General features: G+C 39.2%; 1 protein-coding gene, 1 long non-coding RNA gene and 1 pseudogene across 34 annotated transcripts in view, besides 6 other annotated features; 1 reads left to right on the plus strand and 2 right to left on the minus strand.

Moving 5' to 3' along the window:
- Positions 1-157: 157 nt before the first annotated feature.
- On the minus strand, positions 158-20,029 carry LOC101929762 (uncharacterized). The gene is made up of 3 exons (NR_125931.1): positions 19,912-20,029; positions 2,778-2,953; positions 158-1,776 (listed from the first exon to the last, which is right to left on the minus strand). It is a non-coding gene; the product is annotated as an uncharacterized LOC101929762 (long non-coding RNA).
- MRPL42P1 (mitochondrial ribosomal protein L42 pseudogene 1) lies at positions 2,510-3,152 on the minus strand (annotated as a pseudogene).
- Positions 16,661-17,860: an enhancer, noted in NCBI's record as "P300/CBP strongly-dependent group 1 enhancer chr4:120130431-120131630 (GRCh37/hg19 assembly coordinates)". NCBI's record gives its function as "activates an origin of replication core promoter dependent on BRD2, BRD4, P300/CBP, MED14 and CDK7 cofactors, with strong dependence on P300/CBP, by STARR-seq in HCT116 cells {active_cell/tissue: HCT116}" and the evidence as "EXISTENCE:reporter gene assay evidence [ECO:0000049][PMID:35650434]".
- Positions 19,016-19,590: an enhancer, noted in NCBI's record as "OCT4-NANOG-H3K27ac hESC enhancer chr4:120132786-120133360 (GRCh37/hg19 assembly coordinates)". NCBI's record gives its function as "activates a minimal SCP1, AML or CMV promoter by ChIP-STARR-seq in naive H9 embryonic stem cells {active_cell/tissue: H9 hESC(naive)}" and the evidence as "EXISTENCE:reporter gene assay evidence [ECO:0000049][PMID:30033119]".
- Positions 19,713-19,832: an enhancer, noted in NCBI's record as "active region_21852". NCBI's record gives its function as "activates an Ori minimal core promoter by ATAC-STARR-seq in GM12878 lymphoblastoid cells {active_cell/tissue: GM12878}" and the evidence as "EXISTENCE:reporter gene assay evidence [ECO:0000049][PMID:35858748]".
- Positions 19,963-20,092: a silencer, noted in NCBI's record as "silent region_15654". NCBI's record gives its function as "represses an Ori minimal core promoter by ATAC-STARR-seq in GM12878 lymphoblastoid cells {active_cell/tissue: GM12878}" and the evidence as "EXISTENCE:reporter gene assay evidence [ECO:0000049][PMID:35858748]".
- USP53 (ubiquitin specific peptidase 53) overlaps positions 19,986-21,179 on the plus strand; it is an 82,918-nt gene continuing 81,724 nt past the window's right edge. For 26 of the 33 annotated variants that reach the window (NM_001371395.1, XM_047415834.1, XM_047415837.1 and 23 more), the window contains exon 1: positions 20,098-20,258. The gene's annotated coding sequence lies outside the window, so the exon portion shown is untranslated. The other 7 variants (XM_047415826.1, XM_011532037.3, XM_047415827.1 and 4 more) reach the window with 5 other exon arrangements.
- Positions 20,164-20,737: an enhancer, noted in NCBI's record as "H3K27ac hESC enhancer chr4:120133934-120134507 (GRCh37/hg19 assembly coordinates)". NCBI's record gives its function as "activates a minimal SCP1, AML or CMV promoter by ChIP-STARR-seq in naive H9 embryonic stem cells {active_cell/tissue: H9 hESC(naive)}" and the evidence as "EXISTENCE:reporter gene assay evidence [ECO:0000049][PMID:30033119]".
- Positions 20,443-20,492: an enhancer, noted in NCBI's record as "active region_21853". NCBI's record gives its function as "activates an Ori minimal core promoter by ATAC-STARR-seq in GM12878 lymphoblastoid cells {active_cell/tissue: GM12878}" and the evidence as "EXISTENCE:reporter gene assay evidence [ECO:0000049][PMID:35858748]".

Raw genomic sequence — 21,179 nt, forward strand, 5'->3', positions numbered from 1 at the left:
CAGCCTGGGTGACAGAGCAAGACTCCATCTCAAAAAAAAAAAAAAAGAACAATATCTATTTGTGAAATAAACATATCTGAATTATGGCAATAACATAAGCTTCTATATTTAAAATAATGCATTATAAAACACATTACCCAATACTTGGTTAAGTGTTCAATAAATGGAAGGTATTTTTATTTAAAAAAATGAAAAATTATTCAGATCACACAGTAAAAAAGCAATGGTATTCAGAACTAAGTTAGATTAGAGATGACACTGGAATTACTTTGGGATAAATATACCAATATGATTTGGCTCTATGTTCCCACCCAAATCAAGGGAGGGACCTGGTGGGAGGTAATTGGATCAAAGGGATGATTTATCCCATGCTGTTCTCATGATAGTCAGGGAGTTCTCACAAAATCTGATGGTTTAAACGTGTTTCCCAGTTCCCACTTTGCTCTCTCTCTCTCCTCCCACTTTGTGAACAAGGTACTTGCTTCCCCTTTGCCTTCTGCCATGATTGTAAGTTTCCTGAGGCCTCCCCAGCCATGCAGAACTGTGAGTCAATTAACTCTCCTTTCTTTATAAATTACCCAGTCTCAGGTAGTATCTTTATAGCAGCGTGAACGAACTAATTCATATACCTAGCCTGGATTTGGAATATATGTTGGAACAATGATTATATTAAACATACACAGAGAATCAGAAACACGAAAGTAGCCTAATTTTTAGGATAAACATTAGCATTAGCTCCATTCTCCAGACTCAAAATTGTCATTAAGATAGCCTATTTACAGATCAGGCATGGTGGCTCACGCCTGTAATCCCAGCACTTTGGGAGGCTGAGGCAGACGGATCACACGAGGCCAGGAGTTCCAGACCACCCTGGCCAAAATGGTGAAACCCAGTCTCTACTAAAAATACAAAAATTAGCTGAGTGTGGTGGGGTGCACCTGTAATCCCAACTACTTGGGTGGCTGAGGTGCAAGAATCCCTCGAACCTGGGAGGTGGAGGTTGTAGAGCCGAGATTGCACCACGGCACTCCATCCTGGGTGACAGAGTGAGACCCTGTCTCAAAAACAAAAAAAGGTAGCCTATTTAGGAGCTTGCTAAAATGGTCTTATTTCTTGTGAGCATTCACATTTTGTACGTTATGTAAGAATTTTTAAAAATCAATAATGGTGGATACTTTCCTTGATCAGTATACTGTAACTCTTTGGGAAGTGTATTACATAATCAGAAGGGAGTTCCCATGGGATTGACATGTAGTACAGTACTGCCTCTTTTTTTAATACCTAAAATGGTTTTTCATGTAAATACCTGTTTGGAATGTTTTGAATCAAGAAAAATATTGCACCTGGATTCTGATTCCTCGACACAACAAAACAAGCATATAGTGAATAAAAACAATAATCTCCAAGTCCCTTGCTTTAGGGTGTTTCCACCTTGCTTAAGGAAAGTAGGCACCTGGAAGTTATAACCAATGAAAGAAGGTGACTCCTCTGTCAGCTGAAATAATGACAAATGCATTATTTAATCAACCTGAAATAATGTTTTTTTCTTCCCCATGTTACCTTGAAAAAGCAAGCAGGAATACTGATCAATTTCTACATATATTCCATTCTCAAACTTAATTTTTAAACTCTGTTTCTAACATTCATTTTTCCTTAATCCTACCTATGTAAAATATAAGGGTTCATGAAAGTTCTACAACATAGCTAACTGGCCTCGGGTCCCAGGCCTCTTGGAAAAGACCTCTTCTAGGTCCTGTAGCACTCCAGGATCAGTATCTATTTTAAAACATAAAGTCAAATATGAACATGAGCCACATTTATTTAAGAAATACACATATATAATATTTTGATTTTTTTTATTGTTTACATTTTTAACATACCTAAAAATTTGTAAAATATTGGATATAAATCAACCTGAAAGAAAACTAACCATTTTTCAAGGATACATCATCAACAAAACTGCTAAATATTTCTGGTTTATCAAGTTCAATCAACTTGTTTTTTCTTTGATCTTCCCAAATGAAATTTACATTAATGACAAAAGCAAACCACTTTTCTTTTGGGAAACAGAGGGTCACCATTATTAACTATTTCGTTACTCTCTCCTAGTCACTATTCCTCACACTTTACTGGCCATTTGAAACTTAGTTAGAGTTCCTTTATTAAAAGAACTAGATCAAACAATAGACTTTGAATATGAAATTATTTTTCACATTAATTTTACAAATAGTGTAACACAAATTTATTTTACAAGTTTAAATAAAGTACCTTTCCACCTTCTTAAAAGATTCCTCACCTCCTAAATAGAAATCGCAGGGGAAACAATGCTATTAAGGATCATATATAAGATAGTAGTGGTGCACCTGCAGTCCCAGGTTCTCAGGAGATTGAGACAGGAGAATCACCTGAGCCTGGGAAGTGGAGGTTGCAGTGAACCGAGATCGCACACCACTGCACTCCAGCCTGGGAGACAGAGCAAGATACCGTCTCACCAAAAAAAAAAAAAAATAGAACGGATGAAAGGGGCCTAACAGATAGAAGAAACTGATTAAAATATAACTAATTTAATTATTTCCTAGAAGCCAATAGAAACACTGTAACATTTATTTTCTGGGTAGATCTCATGAATTGATCCTCAAAGGCAATTTAAAAATCTGTCGTTTGGAGGGTCTAGTTTCTTAAGACATCGTGATACTGTCCATGAGGATACCAGTGGTGTTTAGTAGGAAAGAACATTTTGCCGAGTTGTTCTATCATGGGTTTCTCAAGATGCTTACCTTTATCTTCCAATCTAGTTTTCAGCACTTGAACATATGTTTCTTCATTATCATGCACAGAATCTGATTGAGGGTTTGTTTTGTATGCTCATATGAAATGTCCACAGAATGGTGGTAGCACACTATTGTTCTGCCATCAGATATCACAGCAAGCTCTTCTTTGCAATTACAGTCATCTGGTAGAGAAGAATATGGAGATTTATGACAAACAATATAAAACTCTGTTTTGGATTGGTAATATTGGAACTATTCAAGATAGTTCTTTTTGATAGCACCCATTTTGCTGCTGCTACAGCCATGGTGTTTCAAGATGCTTACCAAGTGGTATGAAAAAAAAATGTTCTGAAGAGAAACTGCTTTTAAAATCTGCTTCTATATTTCGTTTGAAAACCAGCACAAGACAAGGATGCCCTCTCTCTCCATTCCAATTCAACATAGTATTGGAAGTTCTGGCCAGGTCAATCAGGCAAGAGAAAGAAAAAAAGTGTATTCGAATAGGAACAGAGGAAGTCAAACTGTCTTTGTTTGCAGATGACATGATCCTATATATAGAAAACCCCATCATTTCAGCCCAAAAGCTTCTTAGGCTGATAAGCAACTTCAGCAAAGTCTCAGGATACAAAATCAATGTGCAAAAATCATTAGCATTCATATTCACTAACAACAGACAAGCAGAAACCCACATCATGAATGAACTCCCATTCACAATTGCCACAAAGAGAATAAAACAACTAAGAACACAGCTAACAACAGAAGTGAAAGATCTCTTCAAGGAGAATTACAAACCACTGCGCAAGGAAATCAAAGAGGACACAAGCAGATGGAAAAACATTCCATGTTCATGGATAGGAAGCATCAATATCGTGAAAAATATTCCCATTACACTACCTACCATTGACATTCTTCGCAGAATTAGAGAAAAACTATTTTAAAATTCATATGGAACTGAAAAAGAGCACACATAGCCAAGACAATCCTAAGCAAAAAGAACAAAGCTGGAGGCATCAAGCTACCTGACTTCAAACTATACTACAAGGCTACAGTAACCAAAAGAGCATGGTACAGGTACAAGAACAGACACATAGACCAATGGAACAGAATAGAGAATCTAGAAATGAGACCACACACCTACAACCATCTGTTTTTTGACAAACCTGACAAAAACAAGCAATGGGGAAAGGATTTCCTATTTAAAAATTGGTTCTAGGAGAACTGGCTAGCCATATGCAGAAAAATGAAACTGAACCCCTTCCTTATACCATATACAAAAATCAAAACTCAAGATGAATTAAAGACTTAAATGTAAAACCCAAAACTATAAGAACCCTAGAAGAAAATCTAAGCAATACCATTCAGGACATAGGCATGGGCAAAGATTTCATGACGAAAACACCAAAAGCAATTGCAACAAAAGCAAAAATTGACAAATGGGATCTAATTAAACTAAAGAGCTTCTACACAGCAAAAGAAACTATTATCAGATTGAATAGAAAACCTACAAAATCAGAGAAAATTTTTGCAATCCATCCTACTGACAAAGGTCTAATATCCAACATCTATAAGGAACTTAAACAAATTTACAAGAAGACAAAAACAGACAATTCCATTACAAAGTGGGTAAAGGACATGAACAGACTTTTCAAAAGAAGACATACATCCGGCCAACAATCATATGAAAAATAGCTCAACATTACTAATCATTAGAGAAATGCAAATCAAAACCACAATGGGATAACCATCTCACCGTGGTACTAGGTGATGGAATGATCTGTGCAGCAAACCACCATGGCACACATTTACCTATGTAACAAACCTGCACATCCTGCACATGTACCCCAGAACTTAAAATAAAAATTAAAAAAATAAAATAAAATAAAATCTGCTTCTAGGCATATCAAATTGCATTCCTTGACAGCTCCTCACTGTGAGACCACCATCTTGTTTAAAGAAATATATTCTTTACTTTTGATATACAGAAAGAGATGTGAAGATAGTATATGATTAATCACAATACATTTCCTCACAAACTCATTGAAACCTATTAAAAATTCTTAAAAACTCAAAACTTTTAACTTCGTATTAAAGTACTGGTCATTATGGTTACACAGAAAAAAATATGTTTTCAGATGAATACATGTATAAATGTATATATTATAATGACCACAATTATCAGAATATATTAGGCTATGCTACTTGTACAACTCCATACTTTGTTTACTTAAGTGTCCTCTTGCTAGCACAGCAAAAAGATATTAATATTTTACAAATAGTAATAAGAATAAACAAAGAACAGAGTTCCAAGATGGCCGAATAGGAACAGCTCTGGTCTGCAGCTCCCACTGTGATCGACACAGAAGATGGGTGATTTCTGCATTTCCAACTGAGGTACATGGTTCATCTCATTGGGACTGAATGGACAGTGGGTGCAGCCCAAGGAGGGCGAGCTGCAGGAGGGCGGGGTGTTGCCTCACCCGGGAAGTGCAAGGAGGAAGTGCCAAGGGAAGCCATGACAGACTACCTGGAAAAACGGGACACTTCCGCCCAAATACTGCCCTTTTCCCAAGGTCTTAGCAACCAGCAGACAAGGAGACTCTCTCCTGTGCCTGGCTCCACAGGTCTCACGCCCATGGAGCCTTGCTCACTGCTAGCACAGCAGTCTGAGATTGAACTGTGAGGCGGCAGCCTGGCTGGGAAGGGGCGTCCACCATTGCTGAGGCTTGAGTAGGTAAACAAAGAGGCCTGGAAGCTTGAACTGGGCGGAGCCCACCGCAGCTCAACAAGGCCTACTGCCTCGACACTCCACCTCTGTAGGCAGGGCATAGCTGAACAAAAGGCAGCAGATAACTTCTATAGACTTAAATGTCCCTGTCTGATAGCTCTTAAGAGAGCAGTGGTTCTCCCAGCACGGTGTTTGAGCTCTGAGAACGGACAGACTGCCTCCTCAAGTGGGTCCCTGACCCCCCGTGTAGCCTGAGAGACACCTCCCAGGAGGGGCCGACAGACACCTCATATAGGCAGCTGCCCCTCTGGGATGAAGCTTCCAGAGGAAGGATCAGGCAGAAATACTTGCTGTTCTGCAATATATGCTGTTGTGCAGCCTCTGCTGGTGATACCCAGGCAAACAGGGTCTGGAGTGAACCTCCAGCAAATTCCAACAGACCTGCAGCTGAGGGACCTGACTGTTAGAAGGAAAACTAACTAACAGAAAGGAATAGCATCAACATCAACAAAAAGGTCATCTACACCAAAACCCCATCTGTAGGTTACCAAAATCAAAGACCAAAGGTAGATAAAACCACAAAGACGGGGAGAAATCAGAGCAGAAAAGCTGAAAATGCTAAAAATCAGAGCACCTCTTCTCCTCCAAAGCATCACAGCTCCTTGCCAGCAACAGAACCAAGCTGGACAGAGAATGACTTTGACAAGTTGATGGAAGTAGGCTTCAGAAGGTCAGTAATAACAAACTTCTCTGAGCTAAAGGAGGATGTTTGAAACCATCACAAGGAAGCTAAAAACCTTGAAAAAAGATTAGACAAATAGGTAACTAGAATAAACAGTGTACAGAAGACCTTAAATGACCTGATAGAGCTGAAAACCATGGCATGAGAACTTCGTGACATATGCACAAGCTTCAATAGGTGATTCAAACAAGTGGAAGAAAGGTTATCAGTGATTGAAGATCAAATTAATGAAATAAAGTGAGAAGACAAGGTGAGAGAAAAAAGAGTAAAAAGAAATGAACAAAGCCTCCAAGAAATATGGGACTATGTGAAAAGACCAAATCTACGTTTGATTGGTGTACCTGAAAGTGATGGGGAAAATGGAACCAAGTTGGAAAACACTCTGCAGGATATTATACAGGAGAACTTCTCCAACCTAGCAAGGCAGGCCAACATTCAAATTCAAGAAATACAGAGAACACCACAAAGATACTCCTCGAGAAGAGCAACTCCAAGACACATAATTGTCAGATTCATCAAGGTTGAAATGAAGGAAAAAATGTTAAGGGCAGCCAGAGAGATAGGTCAGGTTACCCACAAAGGGAAGCCCATCAGACTAACAGTGGATCTCTCTGCAGAAACTCTACAAGCCAGAAGAGAGTGGGGGCCAATATTCAACATGCTTAAAGAAAAGAATTTTCAACCCAGAATTTCATATCCAGCCAAACTAAGCTTCCTAAGTGAAGGAGAAATAAAATCCTTTACACACAAGCAAATGCTGAGAGATTTTGTCACCACCAGGCCTGCCCTACAAGAGCTCCTGAAGGAAGCACTCAAGATGGAAAGAAACAACTGGGACCAGCCACTGCAAAAACATGCCAAATTGTAAAGACCATCAATGCTATAAAGAAATTGCATCAATTAATGGGCAAAATAACCAGCAAACATCATAATGACAGGATCAAATTCACACATAACAATATTAACCTCAAATGTAAATGGCCTAAATGCCCCAATTAAAAGACACAGACTGGCAAATTGGATAAAAAGTCAAGACCCTCAGTGTGCTGTTTTCAGGAGACCCATCTCACGTGCAGAGACACACATAGGCTCAAAATAAAGGGATGGAGGAAGATCTACCAAGCAAATGGAAAACAAAAAAAGGCAGGGGTTGCAATCCTAGTCTCTGATAAAACAGACTTTAAACCAACAAAGATCAAAAGAGACAAAGAAGGCCATTACATAATTGTAAAGAGATCAATTCAACAAGAAGAGCTAACTATCCTAAATATATATGCACCCAATACAGGAGCACCCAGATTCATAAAGCAAGTACTTAAAGACCTACAAAGAGACTTAGACTCCCACACAATAATAATGGAAGACTTAACACCCCATTGTCAATATTAGACAGATCAATGAGACAGAAGGTTAACAAGGATATCCAGGACTTGAATTCACCTCTGCAACAAGCGGACCTCATAGGCATCTACAGAACTCTCCACCCCAAATCAACAGAATATACATTCTTCTCAGCACCACATCACACACTAAAATTGACCACATAATTGGAAGTAAATCACTCCTCAGCAAATGTAAAAGGACAGAAATCACAACAAACTGTCTTTCAGACCACAGTGCAATCAAGTTAGAACTCAGGATTAAGAAACTCACTCAAAACTGCACAACTACATGGAATCTGAACAACTTGCTCCTGAATGACTACTGGGTAAAGAATGAAATGAAGGCAGAAATAAAGATGTTCTTTGAAACCAATGAGAACAAAGACACAATGTACCAGAATCTCTGGGACACATTTAAAGCACTGTGTAGAGGGAAATTGATAGCACTAAATGCCCACAAGAGAAAGCAGGAAAGATATAAGATCGACCCCCTAACATCACAATTAAAAGATCTAGACAAGCAAGAGCAATGAAATTCAAAAGCTAGCAGAAGGCAAGAAATAACTAAGATCAGAGCAGAATTGAAAGAGACAGAGACACAAAAAGCCCTTGAAAAAATCAATGAATCCAGGAGCTGGTTTTTTGAAAAGATCAACAAAATTGATAGACCGCTAGCAAGACTAATAAAGAAGAAAAGTGAGAAGAATCAAATAGACACAATAAAAAATGATAAATGGTATATCACCAATCCCACAGAAATACAAACTACTATCACAGAATACTATAAACACCTCTACGCAAATAAACTAGAAAATCTAGACGAAATGGATAAATTCCTGGACACATAACACCCTCCCAAGACTAAACCAGAAAGAAGTTGAATTTCTGAAGAGACCAATCCCAGGCTCTGAAATTGAGGCAAGAATTAATAGCCTACCAACCAAAAAAGGTCCAGGACCAGACAGATTCACAGCTAAATTCTACCAGAGGTACAAAGTGGAGCTGGTACCATTCCTTCTGAAACTATTCCAATCAATAGAAAAAGAGGGAATCCTCCGTAACTCATTTTATGAGGCCAGCATCATCCTGATACTAAAGCCTGGCAGAGACACAACAAAAAAAGAGAATTTTAGGCCAATATCCCTGATGAACATTAAAGTGAAAATCCTCAATAAAATACTGGCAAACAGAATCCAGCAGCACATCCAAAAGCTTATCCACCACGATCAAGTCGGCTTCAACCCTGGGATGCAAGGCTGGTTCAATATACACAAATCAATAAACATAATCCATCACATAAACAGAACCAATGACAAAAACCACATGATTATCTCAATAGATGCAGAAAAGGCCTTCAACAAAATTCAACAGCCCTTCATGCTAAAAACTCTCAATAAACTAGGTATTGATGGAATATATCTCAAAATAATAAGAGCTATTTATGACAAACACACAGCCAATATCATACTGAATGGGCAAAAACTCAAACCATTCCTTTGAAAACTGGCACAAGACAGGGATGCCCTCTCTCACCACTCCTATTCAATATAGTGTTGGAAGTTCAGGGCAATCAGGCAAGAGAAAGAAATAAAGGGTATTCAATTAGGAAATGAGGAAGTCAAATTGTTCCTGTTTGCAGATGACATGATTGTATATTTAGAAAACCCCATCATCTCAGCCCAAATCTCCTTAAGCTGACAAGCAACTTCAGCAAAATCAATACAAAATTGATACAAAATCAATGTGCAAAAATCACAAGCATTCCTATACAGCATTAACAGACAAACAGCCAAATCATGAGTGAACTCCTATTCACAATTGCTACAAAGAGAATAAAATACCTAGAAATCTACCTTACAAGGGATATGAAAGACGTCTTCAAGGAGAACTACAAACCACTGCTCAATGAAATAAAAGAGGACACAAACAAATGGAAGAATATTCCACGCTCACGGATAGGAAGAATCAATATCATGAAAATGGCCATACTGCCCATAGTAATTTATAGATTCAATGCTATCCCCATCAAGCTACCAATGACTTTCTTCACAGAATTGGAAAAAACTACTTGAAAGTTCATATGAAACCCAAAAAAGAGCCCGCATTGCCAAGACAATCCTAAGCACAAAGAACAAAGCTGGAGGCATCACGCTACCTGACTTCAAACTATACTACAAGGCTACAGTAACCAAAACAGCATGGTACTGGTACCAAAACAGAGATATAGACCAATGGAACAGAACAGAGGCCTCAGAAATAACACCACACATCTACAACCATCTGATCTTTGAGAAACCCGACAAAAACAAGAAATGGGGAAAGGATTTCCTATTTAATAAATGGTGCTGGGAAAACTGGCTCACAATAGGTATAAAGCTGAAACTGGGTCCCTTCCTTACACCTTATACAAAAATTAATACGAGATGGATTAAAAGACTTAAATGTTAGACCTAAAACCATAAAAACCCTAGAAGAAAACCTGGGCAATACCATTCAGGACATAGGCATGGGCAAAGACTTCATCACTAAAACACCAAAAGCAATGGTAACAAAAGCCAGAATAGATAAATGGGATCTAATTGAAGTAAAGAGCTTCTGCACAGCAAAAGAAACTACCATCAGAGTGAACAGGCAACCTACAGAATGGGAAAAAATTTTAGCAACCTATCCATATGACAAAGGGTAATATCCAGAATCTACAAAGAACTTGAACAAAATTACAAGAAAAAAACAAACAATCCCATCAAGAAGTAGGCAAAGGATATGAACAGACACTTCTCAAAAGAAGACATCTATGCAGCCAACAGACACATGAAAAAATGCTCATCATCACTGGTCATCAGAGAAATGCAAATCAAAACCACAAACAGATACCATCTCACGCCGGTTAGAATGGCAATCATTAAAAAGTCACAAAACGGCTGGGCGTGGTGGCTCCAGCCTGTAATCCCGGCACTTTTGGGAGGCCAAGGTGGGCAGATCATGAGGTCAGGAGATAGAGACCATCCTGGCTAACATGGTGAAACCCTGTCTCTACTAAAAAAAAAAAAAAAAAAAAAAAAAAATTAGCCTGGCGTGGTGGCGGGTGCCTGTAGTTCCAGCTACTTGGGAGGCTGAGGCAGGAGAATGGTGTGAACCTAGGAGGCGGAGTTTGCAGTGAGCCAAAATTGCACCACTGCACTCCAACCTGGGCAACAGAGTGAGACTCTGTCTCAAAAAAACAAACAAACAAAAAGTCAGGAAGCAACAGATGCTGGAGAGGATATGGAGAAATAGGAACGCTTTTACACTGTTGGTAGGAGTGTAAATTAGTTCAACCATTGTGGAAGACAGGGTGGCAATTCCTCAAGGATCTAGAACTAGAATTACTATTTGACCTAGCAATCCCATTACTGGGTATATACCCAAAGGATTATAAATCATGCTATTATAAAGACACATGCACACATATGTTTATTGTGGCATTATTCGTAATAGCAAAGACTTGGAACTAACCCAAATGTCCATCAGTGGTAGACTGGATTAAGAAAATGTGGCACATATACACCATGGAATACTACGTAGCCATAAAAAAAGGATGAGTTCATGTCCTTTGTAGGGACGTGGATGAATCTGAAAACCATTATTCTCAGCAAACTATCACAAGGACAGAAAACCAAACACTGCATGTTCTTACTCACAGGTAGGAACTGAACAATGAGATCACTTGGACACAGGGCGGGGAACATCACACATTGGGGCCTGTCAGGGGGTGGGGGGCTGGGGGAGGGATAGCATTAGGAGAAATACCTAATGTAAATGATGAGTTGATGGGTGCAGCAAACCAACATGGCATATGTATACCTATGTATCAAACCTGCACGATGTGCACATGTACCCTAGAACTTAAAGTATAAAAAAAAAAGAATAAACAAGAACAAGTTATTATTTTGCTAGGTACAACCAACTAGTACTATATTAACAGCATGATGAAGGCCAATGCAGTGGCTCATGCCTGTAATCCCAGCACTTTGGGAGGCCGAGGTGGGTGGATTACCTGAAGTCGGGTGTTGGGAGACCAGCCTCGCCAACATGGCAAAACTGCTTCTCTACTAAAACTACAAAAAAATTAGCTGGGCGTGGTGGCATGTGCCTGTAGTCCCAGCTACTAAGGAGGCTGAGGCAGGAGAAACGCTTGAATCTGGGAGGCGGAGGTTGCAGTGAGCCGAGATTGGGCCATTGCACTCCACCCTGGGCAACGAGGGAGAAACTGTCTCAGAAAAAAAAAAAAAAAAAAAAGAAAGCTGCTGTTCTTTCTTGTGCTAGTTGCTGCTTGCAATTTAAATGTCAGCACTGTTTTTAGCAACTGAACTGGCTTCCTTCTATCACATTAACACTATTAAAACTTGATAAAGAGTTCTTTAGAGTTAAAAGTATTTGAAACATTAGCAGAATAAAACTTGTAGAAAGCAATTTAATCAAAACACTTTCATTTAATAATGTCTAAAAAGGCTTTAACACACATACAATGGATTTTACCTGCTAAGAGTTGGTTTGCGTTTTTCCTCAGCACAATTTAGGGTTTAGGGCTTGTTTTACAGATAAGAAAATGAAAGATTCAAGAGCACAAACAGTTAAGAATTGGAAAAAAATTCAGTACTCTAGTATTTCTGCCTTTATATATACTTACAAGTCTTGAAAATGCTTTTGCCACTGAATATTTTCCAACAATTTTTTTACATTATTTAAAATTAAGTGTTATTTTACTTTTTTCTTTTGACTGTGAAGTGAATTTCAACAAGGAAGTTCAACTTGAAAACACTGTGCCCTGAATATTTTTGTCATCTTTACAAGAAAAGTGCTCTCCGGGGCAACTTCCTTTGGGTCTAGTATTTCAGCCAATATGCTATGAGCAAAAGACACTGTGTTACTTTACTATTGTATTTCTTAAAGAATTACTTTAAAAACAAGTCAGTCCAAGGTGTAAAGTGAGTGAGTGTGTGTGTGTTTGTGCGTACGTGCAAGTCACACAGGCTTGGATTTGTTATATTTCCAAGGAGTGGGAAAATAAGTTTGATAAATTTGCAAACACGATGGTTGTTTTTTGTACAGTCAGAGAACTACCATGGATATCACAATTCAGAAAAAAGAAAATATTCGCCTTTGAAATACTCTTGACCTCCTTATGTTCTCTTTCCTTTGTCTTATAAAAAGGTACAAAAGTGCCACGTATGTTTATCAATATTCTAATATTTGAATATATAAGAAATTTTACTGTACTTTAAGAAAGAAAAGAGTTCCATCTTCCATGAAACTTCAGAATACTTCATGGAAAATTGTTCACACTAGGCAAATTCCAAATGTTAAGGAATTGGATTTCAGTTCTGGTTCTGCCAGAGTCTAGAATGACCTTGGGTAATTTTTCTTCCCTGGGCTTAAGTTTTCTCATATGTACAGTGAGGGATTTTAACAAACTAATCTCTGAGGTCCTTTCCATCACTAAGATACTAAGATTCTAAGGCATCTTATATATAAAATAATTTTATAAAACTAGTTTTATAAAAAGTTGAAGAGAATTGATGTTCATAGAAAGGAATGCTAGTGAATAACTTTATGACAATTAAACCTCCAGATATTTTTGGCCAATACTTCTGGACCTATTATTAGTGCAGTACATACTGGCTTTGTTCATTTCTACTTACTCTACTGCATTTCCATGGCTGTAACTTGACAGCATATTTAACTTATATGGTCTTTTATTTAGTCATTCATCTTCTGTTTATTGAGTGCTTCCTATGTTCTAGACACTATGCTAGGTACCTCATTTTCATTATTTCTAAAATAAGGATATTAGTAATATCTAAATATTAATATTTAGGGTCATTGAAAAAGTTAAATAAAATAGTCTGCATAAAGCAGTTAGTTTCTAACACATATTTAGGGATTAAATAACAATTGAGAAAAGGCACTTTCACATATTTAGAACACTGTACTCTAATTCTTCCATTTAAGCATGAGGAAAGAGAGGTTAAAAGAGGTTAAAACTGATCTGCCCACAGTCATACAACTACTTGTTGAGAGCAAAGAACATTCAGTGTTGTTTCTATCATATCCACGTTGCTTCTGAGCACAAATAATTCCACAATTTGTTTTTTTTTTCATTCTTTTGCTCAGATTACAAAACATTGCCAGAAAAAAAAAATTACAAAACTAGGCAAATAAGTGTCCAGAGGGGCTGGCAGTCCTACTTAATCCTGTTAACAGCAATCCAGTTAGCTAGGATACCCTGCTACACACAGATGAAGAAACTGAGATTTATGGAAGTTAATAGCTTTTCAAGATCACACAAACAATAAATGGCAATGTCAGGATTTAAATCTGTTTCTGTCCAGGTACAAAAACCATACTATTTTATGACACCATGTTGCCCTTAAACATTTCTTTTCTTGGCTTTCTAACACTTTTAGTTCTGCCATTAGGATTAATTTAGGCTGCAGCTGGGGCAGAAGGTCAGGAATCCAGTCTTCGTCAACATTTTCCTTAATGACATAGCTGAAGACAAAGAAGATATTACTAATTTTTGCAATACAAAAATAGAGGAAGAATAGTGAATCTTATGAGATAAGATGAAACTTACTGGCATGAAACTTCAAAGCAAAATAAGATACTTAAAAGAAATGAAGAAAACCAATGATGGGGTTGCTTGTGCTCTGAGACAGCATAAATATTTGTGTCCAAAAAAGAATAATGGCATTAAGATTTGGAAAACCTGGCTTCCTATCACTTTATAAAAGAGAAATAAATTAAAAATCAAGTATTTTGAACATAAACTAATATTGGTTAACAAAGTGACACAATTGCAAAACAATCTTATTTAAACTATCCTGATAAGAAAACAGTGTCTGAACTATGGGAGGAAGTAATTTCTCCAAACCACAATTGGGGTAATTGCAAAAATCTGTTTTTATTTTTGGGCACCACATATTTTTCTGAAGTTGACAAGACAGCATCTTGAATTCAGTCACATGGATGGTATGTGAGGCTTGTTACTGCATTTGCCAGGAACATGTTGATGAAGCCATTGTCAGTGAACATAGATAAGAGTCTCCTTAGATACAGGCTCACATGGGGGAGAAAAGCATTTTAAACGATGACAGAAAAATGTTTTCCTGTTACTGATAACTTAAATATCTCATTCACTTTTGGTTTTAGAACATAGCCAAACTGAAGTTTAAGTTACAGGCTCATGCATATATCTGTTCTTTTGCTCTCGCTCTTTACCTTTTACTCTTATTTTAATTCCTGATAGCTCTGATTGTTTTTTCTTATTTATGTTTGACCTCCATTTTTTATTATATGCCAGAATTTATTTAAAATCATTTAAATCATTTGTAGGATGAGGTGAAGTACTGTATAATAAATGAATGAATATGTGGATTAGTGTAATATTTACTAGGCTTTCAAAAATCGTTGCTAGAGTGGAGTATTTTAGCTTAAAAACACAAAAGATATTTTCAGTGTTAACTACTATCTTATGAAAAAGGAGAATATAGATTTCTGTTGTTTCAAAGGACAGAAATAAGGCTAGTATGTGGAAATTACTAGGAGATAGATTCCAACTCATTGTGATGAACATTTTTTTGAGTTAGTCTTAAAAGGGCAATAATAGGCTGCCCTGCAAAGCATTAGGTTTTCTATCACTGTTACCATATTTGAACAGAAGCTGATAGCCCACTGGTGAGGATGATCCTCCATTGAGTGGGAGGCTGGACCAGATGAAATCTAAAGCTTTCTGTACTTTTGAGATTTTAATTAAATACATATCATTGTCATCAATGATAATGGGATTCTATAAGAACATTTTTTTTTTTTTTAGTAATCAGCATTAGTAATCATAATAATGGCACTAATGGCCATCATAACCTAGTGTGGGACTTTACAGTTGCTTTTATCTAGGGCCTTATAAAAAGATATTTGTATAAGTATTTCTTCTCACCCCAATTTTAATGATAAGAAAATTAGAATGTTTCAATGTGAAATAACATACAAGGGTAATGAAATTGCCTACGCTGACCCTAAGTCAGCAAAAATTAAAGAGGCCACTAGTTAAACCACTAGCAGTGATTTACTAGCAAATGTTGACCTTGTTATGGCAGAGCCTTAGAAGGTCTGGGATGGATGGCCAGAAAAGTTTCAGCCAAGTAAGAGCTAGCTAAGATATCATGGATATTGAATTTGAACTTCCAGTGTTTAACAAAATGTCATGCTGCAGAGCTTTAGGAATCCAGTAAATACTGAAGTCCAGAATTCCTTGTAAGAGGAGAGAGGATCCTCAGGAACTCTCTCTCTCCTTCCCACTTCATCTGTGCCTTACTCGTTCAGACCAGCTACTTTCAATGACAAGGCACATTACTATAGCAATCACTTAGAGACCCATGGGAAGAATGTTCTAGGCCAGTAATTCTCAACCTTGATCCTACTGACATTGGGGACTAGATAATTCTTTGTTGTGGGAGACTGTCTTGTCCATTGTAGGATGTTTAGCAGCATCCCTGCCCGCAACTGTGACAACCAAAAATGTTTCCAACCATTGCCAAATGTCCATGGGAGAGAAAACCACCCCCAGTTTAGAACTAGTCTTCCAGACATAGAGAATAGAGAATGCAAAGCCTTGAACAGCATGAGATGTTGTTGCGGAAGCAGGAACAGATCATTCAGGGGTCTATAGGCCTTGGCAAGAATTTTGGATTTTATTCTATGTGAATGAAAAGTCATTGAACAATTTAAGTTGGGGAGTAACATGTCAATATTTTTAAAAGACTAATTGGCTGCTGTGTGGGAAATAGATTTAAAACCATGAGGATAAATGACATCTCAGGATCAGGCACTAAGGCACATCAACATTTAAAGCAGATTGAAAAGTACAAGAGAAAAGGAGGCTGAGAAAGAGAAGCCCATGAGGCAGGATGAAAGCCATAAAGGAATGATGTCACAAGAATTGAGATGAAGATGTCAAGGAGGGAGTGGTCAATTGTGACTAGATTTTTCTGGTTGACTCATCCCTGAGTCACAGCCTAGAGATTTCTCTTCTTGCCTAGCTATAGTTTCCCCTACAGTTCTTCTGTACCTTATTCCAAATGAATCATTCTGCCCCAGAACTTACAAAGGCTTCCCATTGTAGTCCTGTACTGGCCTTGTTCAATCCTGTTTCTAAAACTTTGCTCTTTTAAGTTACATATCTTCCTCAATGCCTTCAAATACACTTGCTTATAATCCTTCCAAGCTGAAGTTCATATTTGATCTCCCACAGAAGCCCTCTCCAACTTTAGCCCACACAGATGACTCTATTCAAAAAAATCAACAAAACTTCCAATTTTTACTCCATCCAATAAACACTGCTTGTTAAGCATCTGTGCTAGGCACTGTGCTATGCCTTGGAAACATGAAAAAACAGAGAGCTTAGGTAGTAAGGAAATTCACTTGTCAGTCCTTATGGATGCATTTAGGAAAAAAAGGATTCTGTCTAGTATCTAACCCTGAGTCAGTCATTGATCTACTACTTCCCTATGCTATATTTCACTCTACCCCACCCAGCTCAGTCATGGTTAAGCTGTTGATTACCTCCTGGAACTACTGGGTTACAGCTCCGCAGGACACAATGTTGCTATTCCTACCAGACATTAGTGGCAGGGTGCATCTAGCCACAGGGTAGCACATTTCTCAAAGTCTGAGTTATAATCAATCCAGAATAACACTAAGAGGTGTGTATATGTGCTGGTGGTGTGAACTTTGGCTAAGCCTCAGCTGAATGATCTAGGGTATTCTTTGGCATGCCAAGCCTGCTCCCTTTCATGATCTCTTTGCCTGTGTGAGGTGCAGAGATTGGTCTTCACAAATTTGGGTCCAGCCAATCAGAAACTAGGGAATCAAACCCACACACGTCCCTCAAGGACAAATAGTAAGAATTAAAATATTTTAAATCCTTGTTGTGACTTTCCCAATTACAAATTTTCTGGGAGCAACAGCTGTCCTGCAATGTCAATTTTCCATTTTTTCATGTTTGCTTCAGACTCTGCCCTCTTGATGCTTAAATTGGGTCCTATTACAACTCTACCATTTAAGGATCGGTACATAGATATGCTAAAAACTGGTAGAAAGTATGAAATTATATAATTTTAAAAGTGTATAGTCAGGGTTTAGTCAAATTCTTGAGCAGGGTGAACTGAAGGGTATTCTTCTGTAATTGCTAAATAAGGAAGGGAGGTAGTATAAGCCATTATTATCCACAGTTCAAATTATTTCTCAAGGGTGGAGGTGGGGGTTACTCTGTCAGGTACATTTGCAGAGAAATAAATATAGTACAACATAATTGTTATAAAAATAAGTCCCAAAAGGGATGACAATTTTGTCTCAGAAAGTTATGAAAAGATCCATGGAGATAAGCATTCGAGAGAGAACCAAAGGATCTTGAGAGAACCAAGAACATAGAAAGCAAGGACTTTAGAAAGATTAATGTGGAGGAACTGGAGGAAGAATGGCGATGAGTTTAACAGTGTGATCATGAAAGGCCCTGCCGGTGGGTAATGAAAAATTCTTAGCAGAGAAGTATAATGATCGTATTTTCACGTTAGAAAAATTATTAATAGAATGGAGGTTGGACTGGTGTGGGAAATAACTAGAGGATATCTTGTGAATATTGCAATAGTACAAGGAAGATGAGTCATAAGAGATGGTGATTACTTGAAGGACTAAGACAGTGAGAGTGGAGGGGTGGACCTGAGAGATACTTAAGGAAATAAGAGTCAAAATTTGATATTAGAAAAGAGGAAATGAAGGAAAAGTAACAGGGGTACTCATAGATTTCTGACTTGGGCAGTTGCGTGTCATTTTCTGAAACAGGGAATGGAAATGGTGTAGGTTCCAGATGGGTGAAGAGGGACATGGCATCAGGAACAGATTATAGTAAAGATGTCCATGTCAATTTGGGACATATTTAAGATACTGTGTGAAATCCAAAGGATGTTGCTTAAAAATGTCCGACGTATAGATATACACCTGAGAGTTCTTGGTGCACAGGACACGTGGTAGGTAAATCCATGATGGGAAAGAGACTGCTCAAGGAGACATGGATTAACATTAAACAGAAACAGCAAAAGAAAATGGAGTGCTGGCGAACAGAGACCACGCAGCGGAAAAACAGTATTTAAAGTGCACCAGAAAAGTAGCTGCAGAATGAGGAGAAAATGACATTAGAGAAACGGAGGGAAGAGTTAATGGTGTGCTCTTATTGTTTTAAAAATGCAGAGTAGGATCTTTTTTTCCCCCACCCCTCCCAAAGTTTTTAATATTTTGAGGGCAGAAACCACGGCTTTATTTCATCCTATTTCTGACAGTGCCTAGTTCAGTAAAGGGAACATAGTAAATGCTCAATAAATTCTTAATGATTCAGCCTCAGACATTACAAACGGGTCCTATTTGTCTCCTGTATCAACGACCAATATTTCTTCCCCCTCTTTCTTCAAATAAACTTTTAGAAGTGCCTCTGGGTTTACTGAAATCCATTTTTACAATTAGTATGTTCAACTTACACCAGCTTTGGAATGAGTTCCAAAACCTTCTTTATTTACTTGAGAGATATTCGGTATCAGTGACGATGGGTTTTTCCTTTACTACTATTCCTAAGAAAGGTTTATTCAAAATCAAAGTTTAGCCCAATTCCCAGCAGTACCTTTTAACTTAAAACCTGTTCGAAAGCACGGCAAAGAGGCGGACAGACTTTTCTGACAATCATTAACCAGGTCAACAGACTTATTAAAGCTATCTAATTAAAGGCAAGAAACAACTGCTTGGGGAATACACATTCACGCCACAGGAAGCCATTTAACTGCAAATAGATCGTCTAACGACTCACGGAAATCTAAAGGAAACTGCGTGTCCGCATGGGGTTCTGATGCCAAACTACGGATTGTTCTCTCAGGTAACACCTAACCTAAGTGAAGTCCTTGGTGGATCCGCGTTCTTGAGCTTAGAAAATACCGAATGAACTACCAAGAGCACCAGAATAATCGCCTCCTCCTGAAGAACTAGCCTCTTTCTCACCACACCAGACAGCACGTCCTACAACCACCTTTCCCCCAACAACCAAACTCCAGCGCCAAGCTGCCGCTTTTGCAGAAATGTTCTATCTCTTGGTCTCGCGCGATCTCGCGCCTCCGAGGAAGCCAACTGTATCGCGCACGCCATCAAATCCCCGCGGGAATAGAATTCCGCAGGTCCAGAAAGCCGGGAAATCGCGAGCGGAGGCGGAGTTACCTCGGTGAGCGTGAAGGCGGAGCCCGCTCCGAGGGGCGGGCTCGAGGCGGGGAGAGGGGCGGGGCTCCAGGGACCTGTTGATCGCAGGTGTCACTGGCCTGACTGGTCCCTGGGTATTGGGGCGTATGCGCATGCTCCGCTCACAGGGTCGGGCTCTGGGCGGCGGAGACCAGCCGCCTGTGCTCCAGTTCCCGGTGAGCCTCGGTACTGTGGCAGCAGTCAGTGTGTCTGGCGGGTGTCGGCGTGAAGCGGGGCTGGGCCAGCGGGAGGTAGCTCTGTGGGAGTGGAAGGCCTGTATTTCTCTACCTGGACCGCACGCTCCTCGCGCAAGGAGGGTAGAGCTCAAGGTAAGTCTCCGAAACTAGCCCTCTGGTTGGAGATCCAGAGACCTGCGACCCCCGCGGGCCTGACCGGGACACTCTCATTCTAGCCCCAGAGCTCGTCTCTCCCCTCGCAGCCCGGCGACCTCCTATGGCCCCGGCCCTCTGGGCACACACACACTCTCTTTGCTGGGCGGTTCAGACGCCAGAGGTCACGCAGCCCTTTCGCCCCTTCTCGCCGCGTCTGGCGGAGATGCCTCTGGCCAGGCTGGAGGCGCTCGCGAGGCGGGAGGAGGTGCTGTACTTGTTGGGTCCTGGATGTTATTGCTGCCGTGTTTGAGGGCGGCGACAAGCTGGAGTCCTGCTGGGATTGTGAGTAATACCCTTACTTGGCTCCTGCCCCTGGCTGTCCAAGCCACATTGCCTCGCCTGAGCACACAGTTTTTTACTTAAAGGGGTCCAGGATGGTTATGCTCCCTCCTTGGAGAAGAGAGATGACTGGACTCGTGAGATTCTTGGGGTGGTGGTTTCTCAGTGGTAGTGGTGATGTATATAAAGTTAATGTTTAGCTTCTAAAGGGCGGCTTACGGGGCATTTACCAAACTATTTTTAAACAGTGTTGGAGAACAGGAAGTACTTGCACAGGTGTAATAGGGAGGGTTTCTAAAACCTGCAATCTGAGGATGTTTTGAGGTTTGTAACCCTGCTACAAGGTTTTCTTTATCAATGCAAAGTATGCAGGGAATTACCAGTTGGACAGCAAAGTTTTCCGAAAGTTTCCTTATCTGGAAATAGATATATATATATATATATATGTGTGTGTGTGTATGTATGTATGTATAAATATATATATTTGCAAAGAATATCTAAGGCTATTTTTGAGGTAGGTTTAATAGTAAACTTAACCTGTAGTCCCAGCTACTCGGGAGGCTGAGGCAGGAGAATTGC

Source organism: Homo sapiens, chromosome 4 (genome assembly GCF_000001405.40).
Source record: "Homo sapiens chromosome 4, GRCh38.p14 Primary Assembly".
Taxonomy (NCBI): domain Eukaryota; kingdom Metazoa; phylum Chordata; class Mammalia; order Primates; family Hominidae; genus Homo; species Homo sapiens.